Here is an 18,692-nt window from a genome sequence, read left to right on the forward strand (position 1 = left end):
TGACAATTCTTCTGAATTGGACACGTTTTACTTCTGGCTCTTTGAAACATTCCCTTCCCTTGGCTTCAATTACACAACTCTCTCCTACTTTTCTTCCTCTGCCTGCTGTAAATATCATTGTACCCTGGGATTCTTTCTTGTTTGTGTGTGTGTTTTTTTTCTCCCTTTGTTTCCTTCCTAGGCTTGACATTCCCTTCCAAATTCAGTCAAAACCATGCAGCATAGAATATAGAACTTCTACCATCTGAGCCCATTCTATGTTGAACTGAGTTCTGATTGTCTTTCTAGCTTTATCTCAGCAAACCCATGGTACAGAAAGTGACTACCTTGTAACTTAATGGGAATTTTCACAAAGTTTTGGGCTTTTTATATCTGTGTCTTTTCATGCTGTTCCCTCAGCACAGGGACTTCAGAACTTCTGCAGCCCCCTGGTTCTAAGGATGGAGAAAGTTATCTATGTTAGGCCAATGAGATCACAACACCCTGACCACAGTGACTGGCTCAGGGAGAAGCAGGTGACTAATGGGAGGCCAGTCAGGGCCCAGACAATTTTATTCCGGGACTTTGAGCCTTCAGGGAAGAAGACTTCCTCTTCTAGTCTGCCTGTTATGACAATTTGAGCCTTATGCTATGGGAGCCACTATGAAGATCCTAAGAGTGGAGTCAATCCAGGGGAAGAAAACTGAGAGCTGGACCTGGGCAGTATCATTTGAGCCCAGGGTCAAGCGATCACTGAACTTAGAGCTACTCTAGACCTCTTCAGCTAACATGATCCAGTAAGTTCTCTTTGTGTATAAACCAGTCTGATTTATTTTTCTATAGAAGTAAGCCTAGAGACTGATAATATGCTCAACAAATATTTGTCAAATGAAAGGAAACCATAAAATGGATAGATTAACTATCTCAGAGGGCTGGTCTGAGAAGTAAATGATTTACCAGTCATTTACTTTTGCTAGGCCAAGCACAGTGCCTAGCAAAAAGCAGGTACATGAAACGTTCATTATGTTTCTATGCCTCCAGCACTCTCCCTGTCACCACACAGTCCACACAACATAGCTCAAAAACTGCTACCTGAACTTGATTATAAGTTCTAAGAAAACTCATATTCACAAAAATTTGACTTCTTCAGTCCTAGGCTTTTTCCCCATAAGTCTTTTTCTTCTATTAAAGACCACAACTTAATATTTACTTATGTTTTTAAAGATCACAACAGTAAACATATTCATTTGTATAGCATCTGCTACAGTTTGAATATTTGTCCCCTCCGAAAGTCATGTTGAACTTTAATCTCCAGTGTGGCAGTATTGAGAGGTGAGGCCTTAATTTATATTTTTTAAAATAAAGATAAAGTCTTGCTATGTTGCCTAGGCTAGTTTCAAACTCCTGGACCCAAGGCATCCTCTACCTCAGCCTCTCCAGTAGCTGTCCTACAGGAAAGACCCACTGCACCCAGCTTGGTGGGGCCTTTAAAAGGTTCTTGGGTCATAAGGGCAGAGCCCTTATGAATGGATTAATGAATTATGGGTTAACAGATTAATGGATTATCATGGGAGTGGGATTGGTGGTTTTATAAGAAAAGGAAGAGAAACCTAAGCGAGCAAGCATAACCCCCTCACCATGTGATGCCCTGTGCCACCGTGGGACTCTGCAGAGACCTCCCAGCAGCAAGAAGTCCCTCACCAGATGTGGCCCCTCAACCTTGCACTTCTCAGTCTCCATAACTGTGAGAAATAATTCCTTTTCTTTATAAATTCCCCATTTTCAGATATTCTGTTACAAGCAACAGAAAATGGACTAAGATAGCATCTTGCAAGGCTTCACTTACTATGCATGCAAAAGCAAAATATTTAAAGTAAAAAATTGTTAGATCTGATTTCATAAATATTTAAAATTTCTGTATGTCAAAAAAAGTCATTAAAAATGTAAGATAGGTTAAACTTGGAAATGTGTATAAACAAAGAGTATCTTAAAATTTTGCAAATCACTAAGGACAAACACCATAATGAAAAAGAATGTATGCTGAATATAGTCACTTTATAAAAGAATACCTACAAATGATCATTAATTATATATTTGATGTTCAATGACATAGTCGAAGTCATGTACATTAAGCCAATAAAATATAATCTTTTTCTTATCATCTTGGCAAGCTGGGGAAAGGAACAGAGAAAGATGCACATCTATGCTCTACTGGTTGAACTGTACATTGTTAGGATGGGAATTTACAGTTTATGTAAAAACCTTAAAAAATGTATTAATCTTTGACTCAGCAGTTTCACTTCCAAAAATTAATATTTAGAAATTAATCATAGAAATGAACAAAACTTGTAACGATGATTTTTATTTAATATTTTTTATAATGGTAAAAAATTTAAAAGTTGATAATAACATCTATCATCTATTTATTGAATTCTCACTTATTAGATTTATTATGTGTCAACAATTGCATTTTCACATACATTGTCTCATTTATTCTTCATTTTATAGATTAAAAAATGAATTTAGAGATATTAAATATTCTGATCAAGATCACAAATCTAGTAAATGGCAGATTCAGAATTTAAACCCAGTTATATTTTTTTCCAAAGCCTATGATCTGAATTACTATTTTTAGATTTTCTTGTCAAAATTTTTGTCTAGCCATAGGATGATAAATATGATGCAGCTGTTACAAGAGGTATGAAGAAATACGTAATAACATAGGAAAATGTGTATGATATTGTGTTAATTGAAGAAATTATAAGATTAGAAAGCTTTATACACAGAATGATTCTTTTAAGACAAAGTATAAGTCTCTGTTCAAAGAAAAAGATCTGTAATAAAACATCCTCAAAAGATAGTTATCTTAGGGTGGTAAAGTATATCTTGGAAATATTTTTCTACTTTGTATACTTTTGTATTTTCTAAATGCACAGACTAATTCATAGTAGAAACTATTAATGTATTATTTTTGCAGCCAACAAGTTATTAAAACACTTCAACATGGCCAAAAGACTTTTTTCTTCTTGTGAGACTGGAAAAGTCAAAAGCCTCTTAAAAAAAAAAAAGTTTGAAATTTCTTTCCACGGGGCACTCAAAAAAGTTTTTACAAGTCCGGTCCAGGGACTCATGTCTATAATCCCAGCACTTTGGTAAGCTGAGGTGGGAGGATCATTTGAGGCCAGGAGATCAAGACCAGCGTAGGCAACACAGCAAGACCCCATCTCTACTAAAATTAAAAAAAATTACCTGGGTGTAGTGATGCATATCTGCAGTCCAGCTATTCAGGAGGCTGAGGTAGAAGGATCCCTTGAGCCCTGGAGGTTGAGGCTGCAGTGAGCTGAGATCACGCCACTGCACACCAGCCTGGGTGACAGAGTGTGCAGTGGGATAATTAAGGAATCAGAGAGACCGTGGGATTGAGGAGGAATTATTTAATTATTTAGGTGCACGGACCCAGTCGATTAACATCCAAAGGGCTGAGACCCAAACAGAGTTAAGCTACCTTTTAAGCATTTCGTGGGGCAGGGGGAGATTTGTGCAGGGGGAAGCGTATTACAGAAGGGAGAAACAAAGACAGTTATTCAATTAAGACATGCATTACATTATTTCTTACTTTTTAAGGAACAACATGTTTTATGACTTGAGATTATCTGTTTAGTGACCTTGCAGCTGCACAGCTAGAGAAACAGTCTTCACGATGGCTGGGAAAGGGAGAGATAAGGCTCACTAGCCACAGAAAAACAGGCAGTCAATTTTTAAAGGACTTCAGCTCTTTCTCTTCCTCAGGGGGAATTGGTTTTTCTTACATACAACTGAGTTTTCACTTACACATTTTAAAATTTCTTTTAATTCCTGTTCCAAGTGAGATCCTTTCTCAAAAAAGTAAAAGATAAAAAATTAAATTAAAAAGAATATTTTTATAAATTATATAAAGCTAAAGACTAAAACAATAATTTGGTGAGTTTAAAAGTAAAAGATAAACCAATGAAAAATGGAAAAACTCAGAGTGGATAAAAGAAAATTCTGTAGCCATCCCATTTTAAATGCTTCTCTACTCTTTATTCCAGTTTTGTGGCACTTTTACCTAAAGGAATGGCAGAAACACTTTTGTGTTATGCAGAGCTGAAGCCTCTCCCATTGGCCTGCTCTCACAGGTATTTTATAAATACAGCAACACAGAAATATATTTTTAAATTTATTTATTTTTTATTTTTTGAGGCAGAGTTTCACTCTTGTTGCCCAGGCTGGAGTGCAATGGTATGATCTCGGCTCACTGCAACCTTCACCTCCTGGGTTCAAGCGATTCTCCTGTCTCAGCCTTACAAGTAGCTGGGACCACAGGTGTGTGCCACCAAGCCCGGCCAATTTTTTTGTATTTTTAATAGAGATGGGGTTTCGCCATGTTGGCCAGGCTGGTCTCGAACTCCTGACCTCAGGTGATCCACCCACCTTGGCCTCCCAAAGCGCTAGGATTATAGGCATGAGCCACTGTGTCCGGCCTGGTCTACAAAATTTCATTACAGAATAAACCACTTTAATTGGACCTTGTGTTCAGAGTATAACCTTACTTAATCTTCCCTATAGGTTTAAGAGGTAGGTATAACTATGCCTATTTCATAAATGAGACCACTGATTCTCAGAGAGATTAAATAACTTGACAACTTTCTTAGATAGTGAGAGATTAATTTTTTTTTCATTTCGAAGCCCAAGATCTTTCCACTTCCTCTCACAGCATAACAAAATCAAAGGCTATGCATGTGCTCCCCAAAGAAAACTTAGGGTAAATATCCTGTCTGTGACTCAAGACACATTTTACAAGTGGCTAAGAAAAAAATCTTTAGACTGTTCGAAAATGAGTAGCATGGCTTTTAACATAGTGCTGGGGAGGATTTTTGCTTTGAAAGTAAAATTAAAGGTGAATTGATAACGAATATATAAATATCATGACAAAGGGTACTATTGTCTTATTTTTGGCTCTCTCAAAAGCAGACCAAGCAAAAACAAGGATTTTGAGTATAAGGAGTTTATCTGGGAGGTGATCCCAGAAAGTGTGGTGAAGTGAAGCAAGGAAAGATGAAATGTCAATGCATTAATTAGTGGGTCACTGCTGTGGGAAACTGGGGCTCAATTTCTCAGAGTAGCATCTAAGAGTTGATGGAACTGATGTAGAACACAGTGCAGAATTGCCCCTTCAATGGGTGAGGAGGCTGGAGTGCTTTTATTCAGCAAATCCCATCTATCATGAATTGATGGTTGTTTCTGGGACATTATGTCTCTGGCACTTCCAGCCTTCCCTACAAGTAGACTGAGCACACTCCTGAGACCAGAAACCATTCTTAGGCAGAGAGACACAGGTGCTTGAAGTAAGATGCCTTTGCATGTAAAAAATTTTTCTATGAAGCTGTAGGTGACCTTGAGAATGGACTGAGGGAATCTAGGCAGGACATCAGCAGAATATGCCACAGGGATCAATAATAAGTAAATGTGTGTTTGTGTGTGTATGTGTGTGCAGCTTGAATAGAATAAAATGCAATTTCATAAGTAGTTTCAAAAAGAGCAAAATGCAGAGAAAACTATGTTCTCTTACTTTTATAGACCCTTCTACCACTTGATGGCCCATACCAAAGTTTAGGTGCTTGAAACTAAAAAACAAATAAATAAAATAAAAAATAATAATGACTTGAAATGATGACAAATATTGATAATAGCTGCAAAACAACTTTCCCCAAATGTGCCCTTTTCCAGTTGATGGTGAAGCTACTGTTACTATATTGTGGGTTTTCAGAATGATTCTTTCTTTCAACGCTTGGCTTCTCCTTCAAATCCTGCCCATCTTGACACCTATTCTAGATTCACGAAATCATTACTACAGAGCAGCGAAGCTCTTGAATTAATGCCTAAACCACTTTCTTACTTTGTATATCTCTTTACTTTTCACTGCTACTGGGGTCTGATTTGTCTCTTTTATATTGGCATTCCTTCTAGAAACAGGAAGATCCTTTTTAAAAAACAAATTTTGTAAGAGAAGAGTTGTTTTCCTAATTCAAATGTTGACAAAAAGGATTATTAATGCTGATAACTATAATCATTCTTCTGTATTCACGTCTTGTATTATAGTCACATGTCTTCTTAAGCTACTTAAAATGACTTATTTTAAAACCCCATGAACAAAATTTAATTGAAAGTTAATGTCAAATACCATTATTATCTTTGAACTAAATGTGAAATTAAATACTGATAAATTTTCATTAATTCTAGAACGATTGATACTCTGTCAAAGTCCTCCTATAATTCCTTTGATTTCTCCTGACTGATTTGGTTGTAACTATGTGGGCTCTTTTTTTCTTCTAGCTTCTTAAATGCTGGTATTCTCCAGGGTTCTCCCTTCAGATTTCTATCTTCCCACAACCTATTCTCTTTCCCTACATAATCTCACCCATATCCAAAATTTAAGTTATCACCTACTTACTGATAATTCCTGGATTAATATTTCTCACTCTGATCTATCTCTGAAACTCCAGTTTCATTTTGTGATTGCTACCAAACATCTCCACTGGGGGTCCCACAGGCACTGCAAATTCAACATGTCTACATGTTAATTTATATTCCTTCCCAAACTTGCTCCATCTCAGCCCCCTTTTTCACTCTTCACCTAGTCGCTGAGAATGAAATACTGAATTGTTTAAATATGAATAATAGGCGGCTGGTGGCTCACACCTATAATCCCAACACTTTGGGAGGCCAAGGCAGGTGGATCACCTGAGGTCAGGGAGTTCAAGAACAGCCTGGCCAACATGCTGAAACCCCATTTCTACTTAAAATACAAAAAATTAGCCAGGCTTGGTGGCGGGCACCTGTAATTCCAGCTACTCAGGAGGCTGAGGCAGGAGGATCACTTGAACCCAGGAGACGGAGGCTGCAGTGAGCCCAAATTGTGCCACTGCCCTCCAGCCTGGGCAACAAGAGCAAAACCCTGTCTCAAATACGTACATAAAATATTGAATGTCTACCATACCCTAATATGGTAGGATGAATACTTAACACTAAGTATGAACTTAACACTAAGTATTTTGTGTAAATTAGCTAATTTAATTATCAAAAGAAGCCTGTTTTCTGTGCTCCTGTGCCCTCTTCCCACCTCTTTTCTGGTCCTCATACCATTGCATTGTTGCTGTTTGTTCCCATGTCTATGTTCATTTCAGTGACCATGTCATATTCACTTTAACATCTTCACTATTGTGCGGTGTTTGGCATACATTAGATAACTAAATATTTGTTGACCGAATTAATGAATATATAACTGAGTGAATAACATTTTAATAATAATATGTTTCCTGGATAGTCTACGGGGAAAACAGGATCATTAAAATAGTCACAAAACTGCATTCTCTGGCTGTGGTGGCTTGTTTACAAAATGGCCCCTAATGAACCATGCCTCCCAGTATCACATATTCTTGTAGAAACCATTCCCACATTGAATCTGGGGTAGCTCTGTGGTTGGTTTCAATCAATAGAATGTGGCAGAAGTGATATTTTGTAGTTTCTAAGGTTGGGCTTCAGGTGTCTACAGCTTCCAACTTCTCTCCTTTTGGGATATTTGTTTTTGGAAACCAACCAATATGCTGTGAGTAGCCCAAGGCACAGAGAAGCCATGTGGAGAAAAACTGAGGGTCAACAGCCCCAGCTGATTTCCCAGGTGCCAGTCAGCATGAACTCCCAGGCCTTTGAATGAGCCATCTTTAATATTCCAGACCATTTGAGTAACAGATGACTGCAGCCTCAGTCAACATCATGTAGGCCAAAAGAGCTTCTCAGCTGAGCCCAGTCAATTCCTCTCCTACTGTGGGTTCATGTGATCATGTCTTATGTGCATGCAATATCAAAAGTGATAATTTTGTGGACTTGTAAAGTCTTTGCCACTGCCACAGTGCCTGTCGATGTCTATGCTAATGCCGCTGGTACCTGATGTTGAGGGTGCAGATCTCTACACGGGTGTGGTCTCAGGTTACCACAGAACTGTTGTCATGAATACTGCTGATCTGTTGCCCTTTAGAGTCTCACAGAGATCACTGTGAAACAGCCTTTAATATTTACCCATATTTTTATTGAACCCCCTTCACTCTAGGACTCAGGCCTGAATTGATGGGGACTGGTCCAATAAATAATATAAAAGTGATAGACAGACAGACAGAAATAGTGCTACACCCATAATCCTTACTCCTTTTATCCTGGCCCATTATCTTTTAGGCATGCTTCTGTGCCATGGCATTCTCTTCCCTTGGATTCAAGTCTTTGCAAGAAAACTCCAAGGTATTTCATGTAATCAGATCCAAGAATATGAACCCTACCAGATCTTTAGACATGCCCAGAGAAGACCGAAACCAAGATGTTCAACATGTCCAGACAAGTAAATCTAAGACTAGAGACATTTATCAGTGCAGGATACCTCCCCTATCTTCACGATTATCTGCTAACAGCTATACCCTTCTTCTTGGAGAAATTGCTCTTCCCCCTTTCCAAGTAGTTGTGGTTGGACTGCTGGTTATAGAACATCACTCCACCCCGGTCCATAGGGATGGGCACATGATCTTGTTCTGGTCAATCATAGAACTTCAGTTCTCTAGGGAAAGGAATTGTTCTAACGGGTGAGTACAGGCCCCAAGACAGAACATTCAGAGTCCTTCTCTGAGATTTTTTTTTTCTAGGAAGGGACTCTTTCTTGAGTGAGAAGGTTGTAATCCTGGGCTTCCATGGGGCAAACACCTAGAGGAGACAATGAGGCCCAAAAGACTTAAGCAGATGAGAGGTGGATGTTGCAAGCAAGAGTGAGTGCTGGTTCTGTCAAGTCTGAAGTTTCTCTCCCTGACATACCTGAAGTTACCTGCTCCCCACAGAAATTCTGTCAGTTCCATAACAGGCCCCATTCTTCTTCCATTAATTCCCATTTTTTCACATAGTGAGTTTGAGTTGAATTTCTGTCAGTTACAATTAAAAAAACTTTGGACTATTGCAAATATAAGCACAATAGAAGGATAGAAATACTTTTTCTGGCTGGATGTGGTGGCTCACACCTGTAATCCCAGCACTTTGGGAGGCCGAGGCAGGTGTATCACCTGAGGTCGGGAGTTCGAGACCAGCCTGGCCAACATGGTGAAAGCCTGTCTCTATCAAAAACTACAAAAATTAGCCAGGCGTGTTGGCAGGCACCTGTAATCCCAGCTACTCAGGAGGCTGAGGCAGGATAATAGCTTAAACTTGGGAAGCAGAGGTTGCAGTGAGCCGAGATCATGCATGCCACTGCACTCCAGCCTGGGCGACAGAGCAGACTCTGTCAAAAAAAAAATAAAAAGATTGTAGGGGCTAACTAGTTCTCTCGTACTGCTCTCTCTAGCATTTTGGAACTGATAAAATCTACTAGCTACTTCATTTTACTGTGTTTGTATCCAATGTAATAATACTACATTGGATACCTATTACTTTGTTTACCCGACATCCCTTTGTTACTGGCGGGTCTTTGTTCTTAGAGCTCCCAAGATGGGGTAAGCCGCTTCCAAGATGGTGGCAAGCCTTTTGTTCTCTGACCTGGGGTTCTTGGCCTCATGGATTCTAAGGAATGGAACCTTGAGCCATGTGGTGAGTGTTATAGCTCTATTAGAAGCCGTGGGTCACGGAAGAGAACCGTGGAACCCAGCCACTAGTGTTCAGCTCGATTGGGATGAACCTGGGCACTTAGCCGTGAAGGAACAATGGCGAGCCTCTAGCCCGATCCGCAGCGGCGATGGGCGCCTCGCTGGGTCAGAAACGCAGTGTACACCCTGCCGGATCCAGAGGGGTGGAAGTCAGTGGTGGGTCTGCGACAACGGCAATCAGCAGTAGTGGACGGCGAGCGAAAGCTCAGCTCCAGCCAGAACAAACGTGGACCAGAAGAGTGTGCAGTTGCAAGATTTAATAGAGTGAAAACAGAGCTCCCATAGAAGGGGAGGGGACCCAAAGGGGGTTTCCCCTGCCCGCTCGAATTCCTGGGTTTATATCCCAATCATTGTCCCTCCCGCTATGCGCTCAGGCGATAGATGATTTGACTATTTCTTTACCTCCTGCTTTTAGCCTAATTGGTATTTTAGTGAGCCCTCTTTACTACCTGATGGGTCAGGTGTGAGCTGAGTTACAAGCCTCGTGTTTGAAGGTGGGTGTGGTCACCTTCCACAGCTAGGCTTAGGAATTCTTAGTCGGCCTAGGGAATCCAGCTAGTCCTGTCTCTCACTATCTTCTGAGAATTATTTCTCACATTAACCTTTTGTGGTAGATTAAAAGATTGGCGCTACCCTTCCTGCTTCCCTGTCCCCCACTTTAAACAATAGCTTCACTGTGGGCAGAAGGTATTTCTTTCCCCTTGACTTAGTGTCCAGTCATGTGACTTTCTTTGACCAATGGCTTGGTCAGGCAGTAGCAGCAGTGTTAGAACGGCTCTGAACCTAAACTTCAGAGGCTCTTGTGTTCCCTGTCTAGCTTAGGGGCCCAGGAGGAGTGAGATCTGGGTTCCTAAGACCCACTATTCCACTAGAATGGAGTACAGCCACTCTAGTCATCACTGCCTGGCAGGGCTGCCCTAGCCAACCGTCAGATCCGTGAAAATGAATGATAGTGGTGTTAAACCACTAGTTGGGGCACTTTGTTATAGAACATTGTAGTGATAATAACCTAACTGATATACCTCCCACCCCAGCCCACTCACTCCCAATCATAGGGTTCCCACACAATTTACCAGGTTCTTCTTACACTATCAGATCCTCTTTCCTGTCATCAGTTAGTCCAGAGGCTGAATGGGCCCCTGGGAGCTCTTCTCAGCATTTTGTACTTGGAGGGGGAGCATTGAGCACTCTTTCTTGTGGCAGAAAGTCTGAAGTGTGAGACCTGGGAGTTGTTAGCCTCGTTGGCCACCCCGTGGGGAAAGCAGATTTGCAGTGAGAAAGAAGTCAGGAGGCGGAGAGTGACACCTAGGGGCTTTTTAGAGTTCCTAGCTGCAGTTATTCCACACTTCAGCTTGAACCTCCGTGACCTGTCTCCGCTTCTCCTTGGCTCTTAATCGCATTTTGCTTCTCTTATTCCCCATTTTTTTCTGTTGTAATCTTTCTGAAGAACAGGACAGGGTCTCATTCACGTTTGTATTTCCCGAAGTACTCTATCAAGTGTCTTACATGTTATAGACACTCAATAAATACTTGTGGAATTAAAGTGGTCCCCCTGCCCAAATCCCTGAGTGAGAACTAGATCCTCCTCCTTTGTCTGAACATGTCCATATGTACTCTAAGCTACCTACTTTATACTGGAGGTTCATTTTTCAATCATTTCCCATAATTTGACTAAAATTAAATCCGTAAGTTGAAATTGGATGAATGACCCAGTAAGCTAGTTTTTTAAAGTTCAGAGTATTTGCTGTTGAAAAACCAACAAGTTGAATTTATTATCCTTTAGGTTAAGGTCTATTTTAGTCTCAAGATTCCATAGTTTCATGGTATATACAGTTAACTACTTTTCCAATCATAAATACAAAAATTTTCTGGTAACCCTCTTAAGGAGAGTTAGTCGAAAAATTGCTTTGGCTCTGAGTTGCTCAGCTGAAAAGAAAAAGAAATGCCTAGGTTTATTTTTCCTGATATCTTTACATAGGAATTTTCTGGGCTCAATCCTAGAACTTCTTTCCTTTTCTATCTATAGTCTATATCTAATTTCTTGGTAATCCCATTCATGCTTGTGGCTTTAAATTCCATCTATATGCAGGTGATACTCAAATTTATATATCCAGCTTGGTCTCTCCTCTGAATTCCAGGTTCATATGACCCAACCAATTCAACATCTTATCTAGATAACAGGCATTTCGAACTTTTTTTTTTTTTTTTTTTTTTTACTTTAAGTTCCAGGATAAATGTGCAGGATGTGCAGGTTCATTACATAGGTATACATTTGCCATGGTGGTTTGCTGCAACTATCAACCCGTCATCTAGATTTTAAGCCCTGCATGCATTAGGTATTTGTCCTAATGCTCTCCCTCCCCTTGCTCCCCACCTTCTGACAGGTCCCGGTGTGTGTTGTTCCCCTCCCTGTGTCCATGTGTTCTCATCGCTCAACTCCCACTTATGAGTGAGAACATGTGATGTTTGGTTTTCTGTTCTTGTGTTAGTTAGCTGAAAATGATGGCTTCCAGCTCCATCCATGTCCCTGCAAAGGACATGATCTTATTTTCTTTTATGGCTGCACGTTCTGCACATGTATCCTGGAACTTAAAGTAAAAAAAAAAAAAAAAAAAGGTTTGAAATGCCTGTTATCCAGATAGAGATGTTGAATCAGTTGGGTCATATGAACCTGGAATTCAGAGAAGAGATCAAGCTGGATATAGAAATTTGAGTGTCATCTCCATATAGATGGAATTTAAAGCCACAAAGTATTCCATGGTGTATATGTACCACATTTTCTTTATCCAGTCTATCATTGATGGGTATTTGGGTTGGTTCCATGTTTTGCTGTTATAAATAGTGCTGCAATAAACATATGTATGTGCACGTATCTTTGTAGTAGAATTATTTATATTCTTTTGAGTATCTACCTAGTAATGAGATGCTGGGTCAAATGGTATTTCTGGCTCTAGATCCTTGAGGAATCGCCACACTGTCTTCCGCGATGGTTGAACTAATTGACATTCTCACCAACAGTGTGAAAGCATTCCTATTTCTCCGCAGCCTCACCAGCATCTATTGTTTCTTGACTTTTTAATGATCACCATTCTGACTGGTGTGTAATGGTAACTCATTGTGGTTTTGATTTGCATTTCTCTGCAGATCAGTGGTGATGTGCTTTTTTTCATGTTTGTTGGCTGCATAAATGTCTTCTTTTGAGAAATGTCTGTTCATATGCTTTGACCACTTTTTGAGGGGGTTGGTTTTTTCTTGTAAATTTGTTTAAGTTCCTTGTAGATTCTGGATATTAGACCTTTGTCAGATGGGTAGATTGCAAAAATTTTCTCCCATTCTGTAGGTTGCCTGTTCACTCTGATGCTAGTTTCTTTTGCTGTGCAGAAGATCTTTAGTTTAATTAGATCCCATTTGTCAATTTTGGCTTTTGTTGCAATTGCTTTGGGTGTTTTCATCATGAAGTCTTTGCCCATGCCTATGTCCTGAATGGTATTGCCTAGGTTTTCTTCTAGGGTTTTTATGGTTTCAGGTTTTATATTTTAAGTCTTTAATCCATCTTGAGTTAATTTTCATATAAGGTGTAAGGAAAGGGTCCAGTTTCAATTTTCTGTATATGGCTAGCCAGCTTTTCCAGCATCATTTATTAAATAGGGAATCCTTTCCCCATTGCTTATTTTTGTCACGTTTGTCGAAGATCAGATGGTTGTAGATATGTGGTGTTGTTTCTGAGGTCTCTGTTCTGTTGCATTGGTCTGTATGTCTATATGTCTACTGTTTTTGTAGCAGTAGCATGCTGTTTTGGTTACTGCAGCCTTGTAGTGTAGTTTGAAGTCAGGTAGTGTGATGCCTCCAGCTTTCTTCTTTTTGCTTAGGATTGTCTTGGCTATACGGGCTCTTTTTTGGTTCCATATGAAATTTAAAGTAGATTTTTCTAATTCTGCGAAGAATGTAAATGGTAGTTGGATGGGAATAGGCTTGAATCTATAAATTACTTTGGGCACTATGGTTATTTTCACAATATTGATTCTTCCTATCCATGAGGATGGAATGTTTTTCCATTTGTTTGTGTTCTCTCTGATTTCCTTGAGCAGTGGTTTGCAGTTCTCCTTGAAGAGGTCCTTCATGTCCCTTGTAAGCTGTATTCCTAGGTATTTTATTACCTTTGCAGCATTTGTGAATGGGACTTCATTTATGATTTGGCTCTTTGCTTGTCTATTGTTGGTGTGTAGGAATGCTTGTGATTTTGATTGATTTTGTATCCTGAGACTGCTGAAGTTGATTATCAGCTTAAGGAGTTTTTGGGCAGAGACGATGGGGTTTTCTAAATATACAAACATGTCATCTGCAAACAGACAATTTGACTTCCTCTCTTCCTATTTGAATACTTTTATATCTTTCTCTTGCCTGATTTCCCTGGCCAGAACTTCCAATACTATGTTGAATTGGAGTGGTGAGAGGGCATCCTTGTCTTGTGCCAGTTTCCAAGGGAATGATTCCAGCTTTTACTCATTCAGTATGGTATTGGCTATGGGTTGTCATAAATAGCTCTTATTATTTTGAGATATTCCATCAATGCCTAGTTTATTGAGAGTTTTTAACATGAAGGGATGTTGAATTTTATCAAAGGCCTTTTCTGCGTCTATTGAGATAATCATGTGGTTCTTTTCATTGGTTCTGTTTATGTGATGCGTTACATTTATTGATTTGTGTATATTGAACCAGCCTAGCATCCCAGGGATGAAGCCAACTTGGTCGTGGTGGATAAGCTTTTTGATGTGCTCCTGGATTCGGTTTGCCAGTATTTAATTGAGGATTTTCGCATTGATGTTCATTAGGGATATTGGCCTGAGGTTTTCTTTTTTTGTTGTGTCTCTGCCAGGTTTTGGTATCAGGATGATGCTGGCCTCATAAAATAAGTTGCAGAGGAGTTCCTCCTTTTCAATTGTCTGGAGCAGTTTCAGAAGGAATGGTAGCAGCTCCTCTTTGTACTGCTGATAGAATTTGGCTGTGAATCCATCTGGTCCTGGGCTTTTTTTGGTTGGTAGCCTATTAGTTACTGCCTCAATTTCAGAACTTCTTGTTGGTCTATCCAGGGATTTGACTTCTTCCTAGTTTAGTTTTGGGAGGTGTATGTGTCAAGAAATGTATCCATTTCTTCTAGATTTTCTAGTTTATTTGCATAGAGGTGTTTATAGTATTCCCTGATGGTAGTTTGTATTTCTGTGGGGTCAGTGGTGATATCCCCTTTATCATTTTTTATTGTGTCTATTTGACTCTTCTCTCTTTTCTTCTTTATTACTCTGGCTAGCTAGCGGTCTATTTTGTTAATTTTTCAGAAAATCAGCTCCTGGATTCATCGATTTTTTGAAGGGTTTTTTGTGTCTCTATCTCCTTCAGTTCTGCTCTGATCTTAGTTATTTCTCGTCTTCTGCTAGCTTTTGAATTTGTTTGCTCTTGCTTCTCTGGTTCTTTTAATTGTGATGTTAAGGTGATGATTTGAGATCTTTCCAGCTTTGTGATGTTGGCATTTAGTCCTGTAAATTTCCCTCTAAACACTGGTTTAGCTGTGTCCCAGAGATTCTGGTACATTGTCTCTCTGTTCTCATTGCGTTCAAAGAACTTCTTAATTTCTACCTCAATTTTGTTATTTACCGAAGAGTCATTCAGGAGCAGGTTGTTCAGTTTCCATGTAGTGTGTGGTTTTGAGTGAGTTTCTTTTCTTTTTTTTTTGAGATGGAGTCTCGCTCTGTCACCCAGGCTGGAGTGCAGTGGCGCAATTTCGGCTCACTGCAAGCTCCGCCTCCCAGGTTCACTCCATTCTCCTGCCTCAGTCTCCCGAGTAGCTGGGACTACAGGCGCCTGCCACCAAGCCCAGCTAATTTTTTTTGTATGTTTTAGTGGAGACAGGGTTTCACCATGTTAGTCAGAATGGTCTCGATCTCCTGACCTCGTGATCTGCCCGCTTCGTTCTCCCAAAGTGCTGGGATTACAGGCGTGAGCCACTGCGCCCGGCCTTGAGTAAGTTTCTTAATCCTGAGTTCTAATTTGATTGCACTGTGGTCTGAGAGACTGTTTGTTATGATTTAAGTTCTTTTGCCTTGCTGAGGAGTGTTTTACTTCCAATTATGTGGTCTATTTTAGAATAAGTGTCATGTGGCACTGAGAAGAATGTATATTCTGTTGATTAGGGATGGAGAGTTCTTTAGATGTCTATTAGGTGCACTTGATCTGGAGCTGAGTTCAAGTCCTGAATATCCTTGTTAATTCTCTGTCTCGTTGATCTGTCTAATAGTGACAGTGGGGTGTTAAAGTCTCCCAGTATTATTGTGTGGGAGTCTAAGTCTCTCTGTAAGTCTCTAAGAACTTGCTTTATGAATCTGGATGCTCCTATATTGGGTGCATATATATTTAGGATAGTTAGCTCTTCTTGTTGTATTGATCCCTTTACCATTATGTAATGCCCTTCTCTGTCTTTTTTTAATTTTTGTTGGTTTAAAGTCTGTTTTATTAGAAACTAGGATTGCAAGCCCTGTCTTTTTAAATTTTATTTTATTATTTATTTTTTATTTTTTTGCTTTCCGTTTGCTTGGTAAATAATCCTCCATCCCTTTATTTTGAGCCAATGTGTCTTTGCATGTGAGATGGGTCTCCTGAATACAGCACACCAATGGGTCTTGACTCTTTATCCAATTTGCCAGTCTGTGTCTTTTAATTGGGGCATTTAGCCCATTTACATTTAAAGTTAATATTGTTATGTGTGAATTTGATCCTGTCATCATGATGATAGCTGGTTATTTTGCAAGTTAGTTGATGCAGTTTCTTTATAGTGTCATTGGTCTTTATATTTTGGCATGTTTTTGTAGTGGCTGGTACTGGTTTTTTTCTTTCCATATTCAGTGCTTCCTTCAGGAGCTCTTGTAAGACAGGCCTGGTGTTAACGAAATTCCTTAGCATTTGCTTGTCTGGAAATGATTTTATTTCCCCTTTACTTATGAAGCTTAGTTTGGCTGGATATGAAATTCTGGGTTGAAAATTCTTTTCTATAAGAATGTTGAATACTGGCCCCCACTCTCTTCTGGCTTGTAGAGTTTCTGCTGAGAGATCTGCTGTTAGTCTGATGGGCTTCCCTTTGTAGGTGACCTGGCCTTTCTCTCTGGCTGCCCTTAACAGTTTTTCCTTCATTTTGACCTTGGAGAATCTGATGATTATGTGTTTGGGGATTGATCTTCTCATGGAGTATCTTAGTGGTGCTCTCTGTATTTCCTGAATGTGAATGTTGGCCTGTCTTGCTAGGTTGGGGAAGTTCTCCTGGATAACATCCTGAAATATGTTTTCCAACTTGGTTCCATTCTCCCTGTCTCTTTCAGGTACTCCAGTCAATCATAGGTTCGGTCTTCTTACATAGTCCCATATTTTTTGGAGGCTTTGTTCATTCCTTTTCATTCTTTTTTCTCTAATCTTGTCTGTGTGTCTTATTTCAGCAAGGTGGTCTTCAAACTCCGATATCCTTTCTTCCACTTGATTGATTCAGCTATCGATACTTGTGTATGCTTCATTAAGTTCTCATGCTGTGTTTTTCAGCTCCATCACATCATTTATGTTCCTCTCTAAACTGGTTATCCTAGTTAGCAGCTCCTGTAAACTTTTATCAAGGTTCTTAGCTTCTTTGCATTGGGTTAGAACATGCTCCTTTATCTTGGCAGTTTGTTATTATCCACCTTCTAAAGCCTACTTCTGTCAATTCGTCCATCTCATGCTCTGTTCAGTTCTGCGCCCTTACTGAAAAGGCGTTGTGATCATTTGGAAGATAAGAGGCATTCTGGCTTTTGGAAGAGTCAGTGTTTTTGCACAGGTTTTTCCTCATCTTCATGGATTTATCTACCTTTCATCTTTGAAGCTGATGACCTTTGGATAGGGTTTTTGTGGGGGCATCTTTTTTGTTGATATTGTTGTTGTTGTTTTCTGTTTGTAGTTTTTCTTCTAACAGTCAGGTCCCTCTTCTGCAGGTCTGCTGCAGTTTGCTGGAGGTCCACTCCAGACTCTATTCTCCTGGGTATCACCAGTGGAGACTGCAGAACAGCAAAGATTGCTCCCTGTTCCTTCCTCTGGAAGCTTTGTCCCAGAGGGGCACCAGCCTGATGCCAGCCAGAGCTCTCCTGTATGAGGTGTCTGTCGACCCCCGTTGGGAGGTCTCTCCAAGTCAGGAGGCACAGGGGTCAGGGATTCACTTGAGGAGGCAGTCTGTCCCTCAGCAAAGCTGGTGCTCTGTGCTGGGAGAATTCCTTTTGTCAGGATCCGCCACTCTCTTCAGAGCCAGCAGACAGGAAAGATTAAGTCTGCTGAAACTGTGACTGCAGCTGTCCCCTCCCTCCAGGTGTTCTGTCCCAGGGAGAAGATGAGTGTTCTGTCTACAAGCCCCTGACTGGAGCTGCTGTATTTCCTGCAAAGATGCCTTGCCCAGTGAGGAGGAATCTAGAGAAGCACCCTGGCCACAGTCGCTTTGCTGCACCTTGGTGAATTCCGTCTAGTCCAAACCTCCCAGTCTCCTTAGGGCTGTTAGGGGAAAACCGCTTTCTAAAGCCACAGTAATGGCAGCTGCCCCTCCATGAACCAAACTGATCATCCCAAAGCAGACTCCAGACTGTTGTAATGGCAGTGAGAATTTAAAGCCAGTGGTTTTTAGCTTGCTGGGCTCCATGGAAGTGGGACCTGCTGAGCGAGACCACTTGGCTCCCTGGCTTCAGCCCCCTTTCCAGGGCAGTGGATGGTTCTCCTGTCTCACTGGCATTCCACACACTGCTGGAGTATGAACAAACTCCTGCAGCTCAGTTCCTGCTCAAACAGCCGCCAAGTTTTGTGCCTGAAACCCAGGGCCCTGATAGTGTAGGCTCAGGAGGGAATCTCCTGATCTGTGGATTGCAAAAAATCCGTGGGAAAAGTGTAGTACCCCGGGTAGGTAGCACAGTCCCTTACCGCTTCACTTGGCTGGAGGAGGGACGTCCCTCTGCTCCATGCACTTCCCAG

At 40.5% G+C, this 18,692-nt stretch overlaps 2 protein-coding genes across 2 annotated transcripts in view; one reads left to right on the forward strand and one right to left on the reverse strand.

Moving 5' to 3' along the window:
• The window catches only part of C1orf141 (chromosome 1 open reading frame 141), a 49,482-nt gene extending 46,221 nt beyond the window's left edge, over positions 1-3,261 (reverse strand). Inside the window, exon 1 of the mRNA XM_011541466.3 lies at positions 3,229-3,261. The gene's annotated coding sequence lies outside the window, so the exon portion shown is untranslated. The remainder of the gene's footprint in view (positions 1-3,228) is intronic.
• The window catches only part of IL23R (interleukin 23 receptor), a 127,267-nt gene continuing 108,826 nt past the window's right edge, over positions 252-18,692 (forward strand). Inside the window, exon 1 of the mRNA XM_011540790.4 lies at positions 252-776. The gene's annotated coding sequence lies outside the window, so the exon portion shown is untranslated. The remainder of the gene's footprint in view (positions 777-18,692) is intronic.

The sequence above is a fragment of the Homo sapiens genome, chromosome 1 (assembly GCF_000001405.40).
Source record: "Homo sapiens chromosome 1, GRCh38.p14 Primary Assembly".
Taxonomy (NCBI): Eukaryota; Metazoa; Chordata; class Mammalia; order Primates; family Hominidae; genus Homo; species Homo sapiens.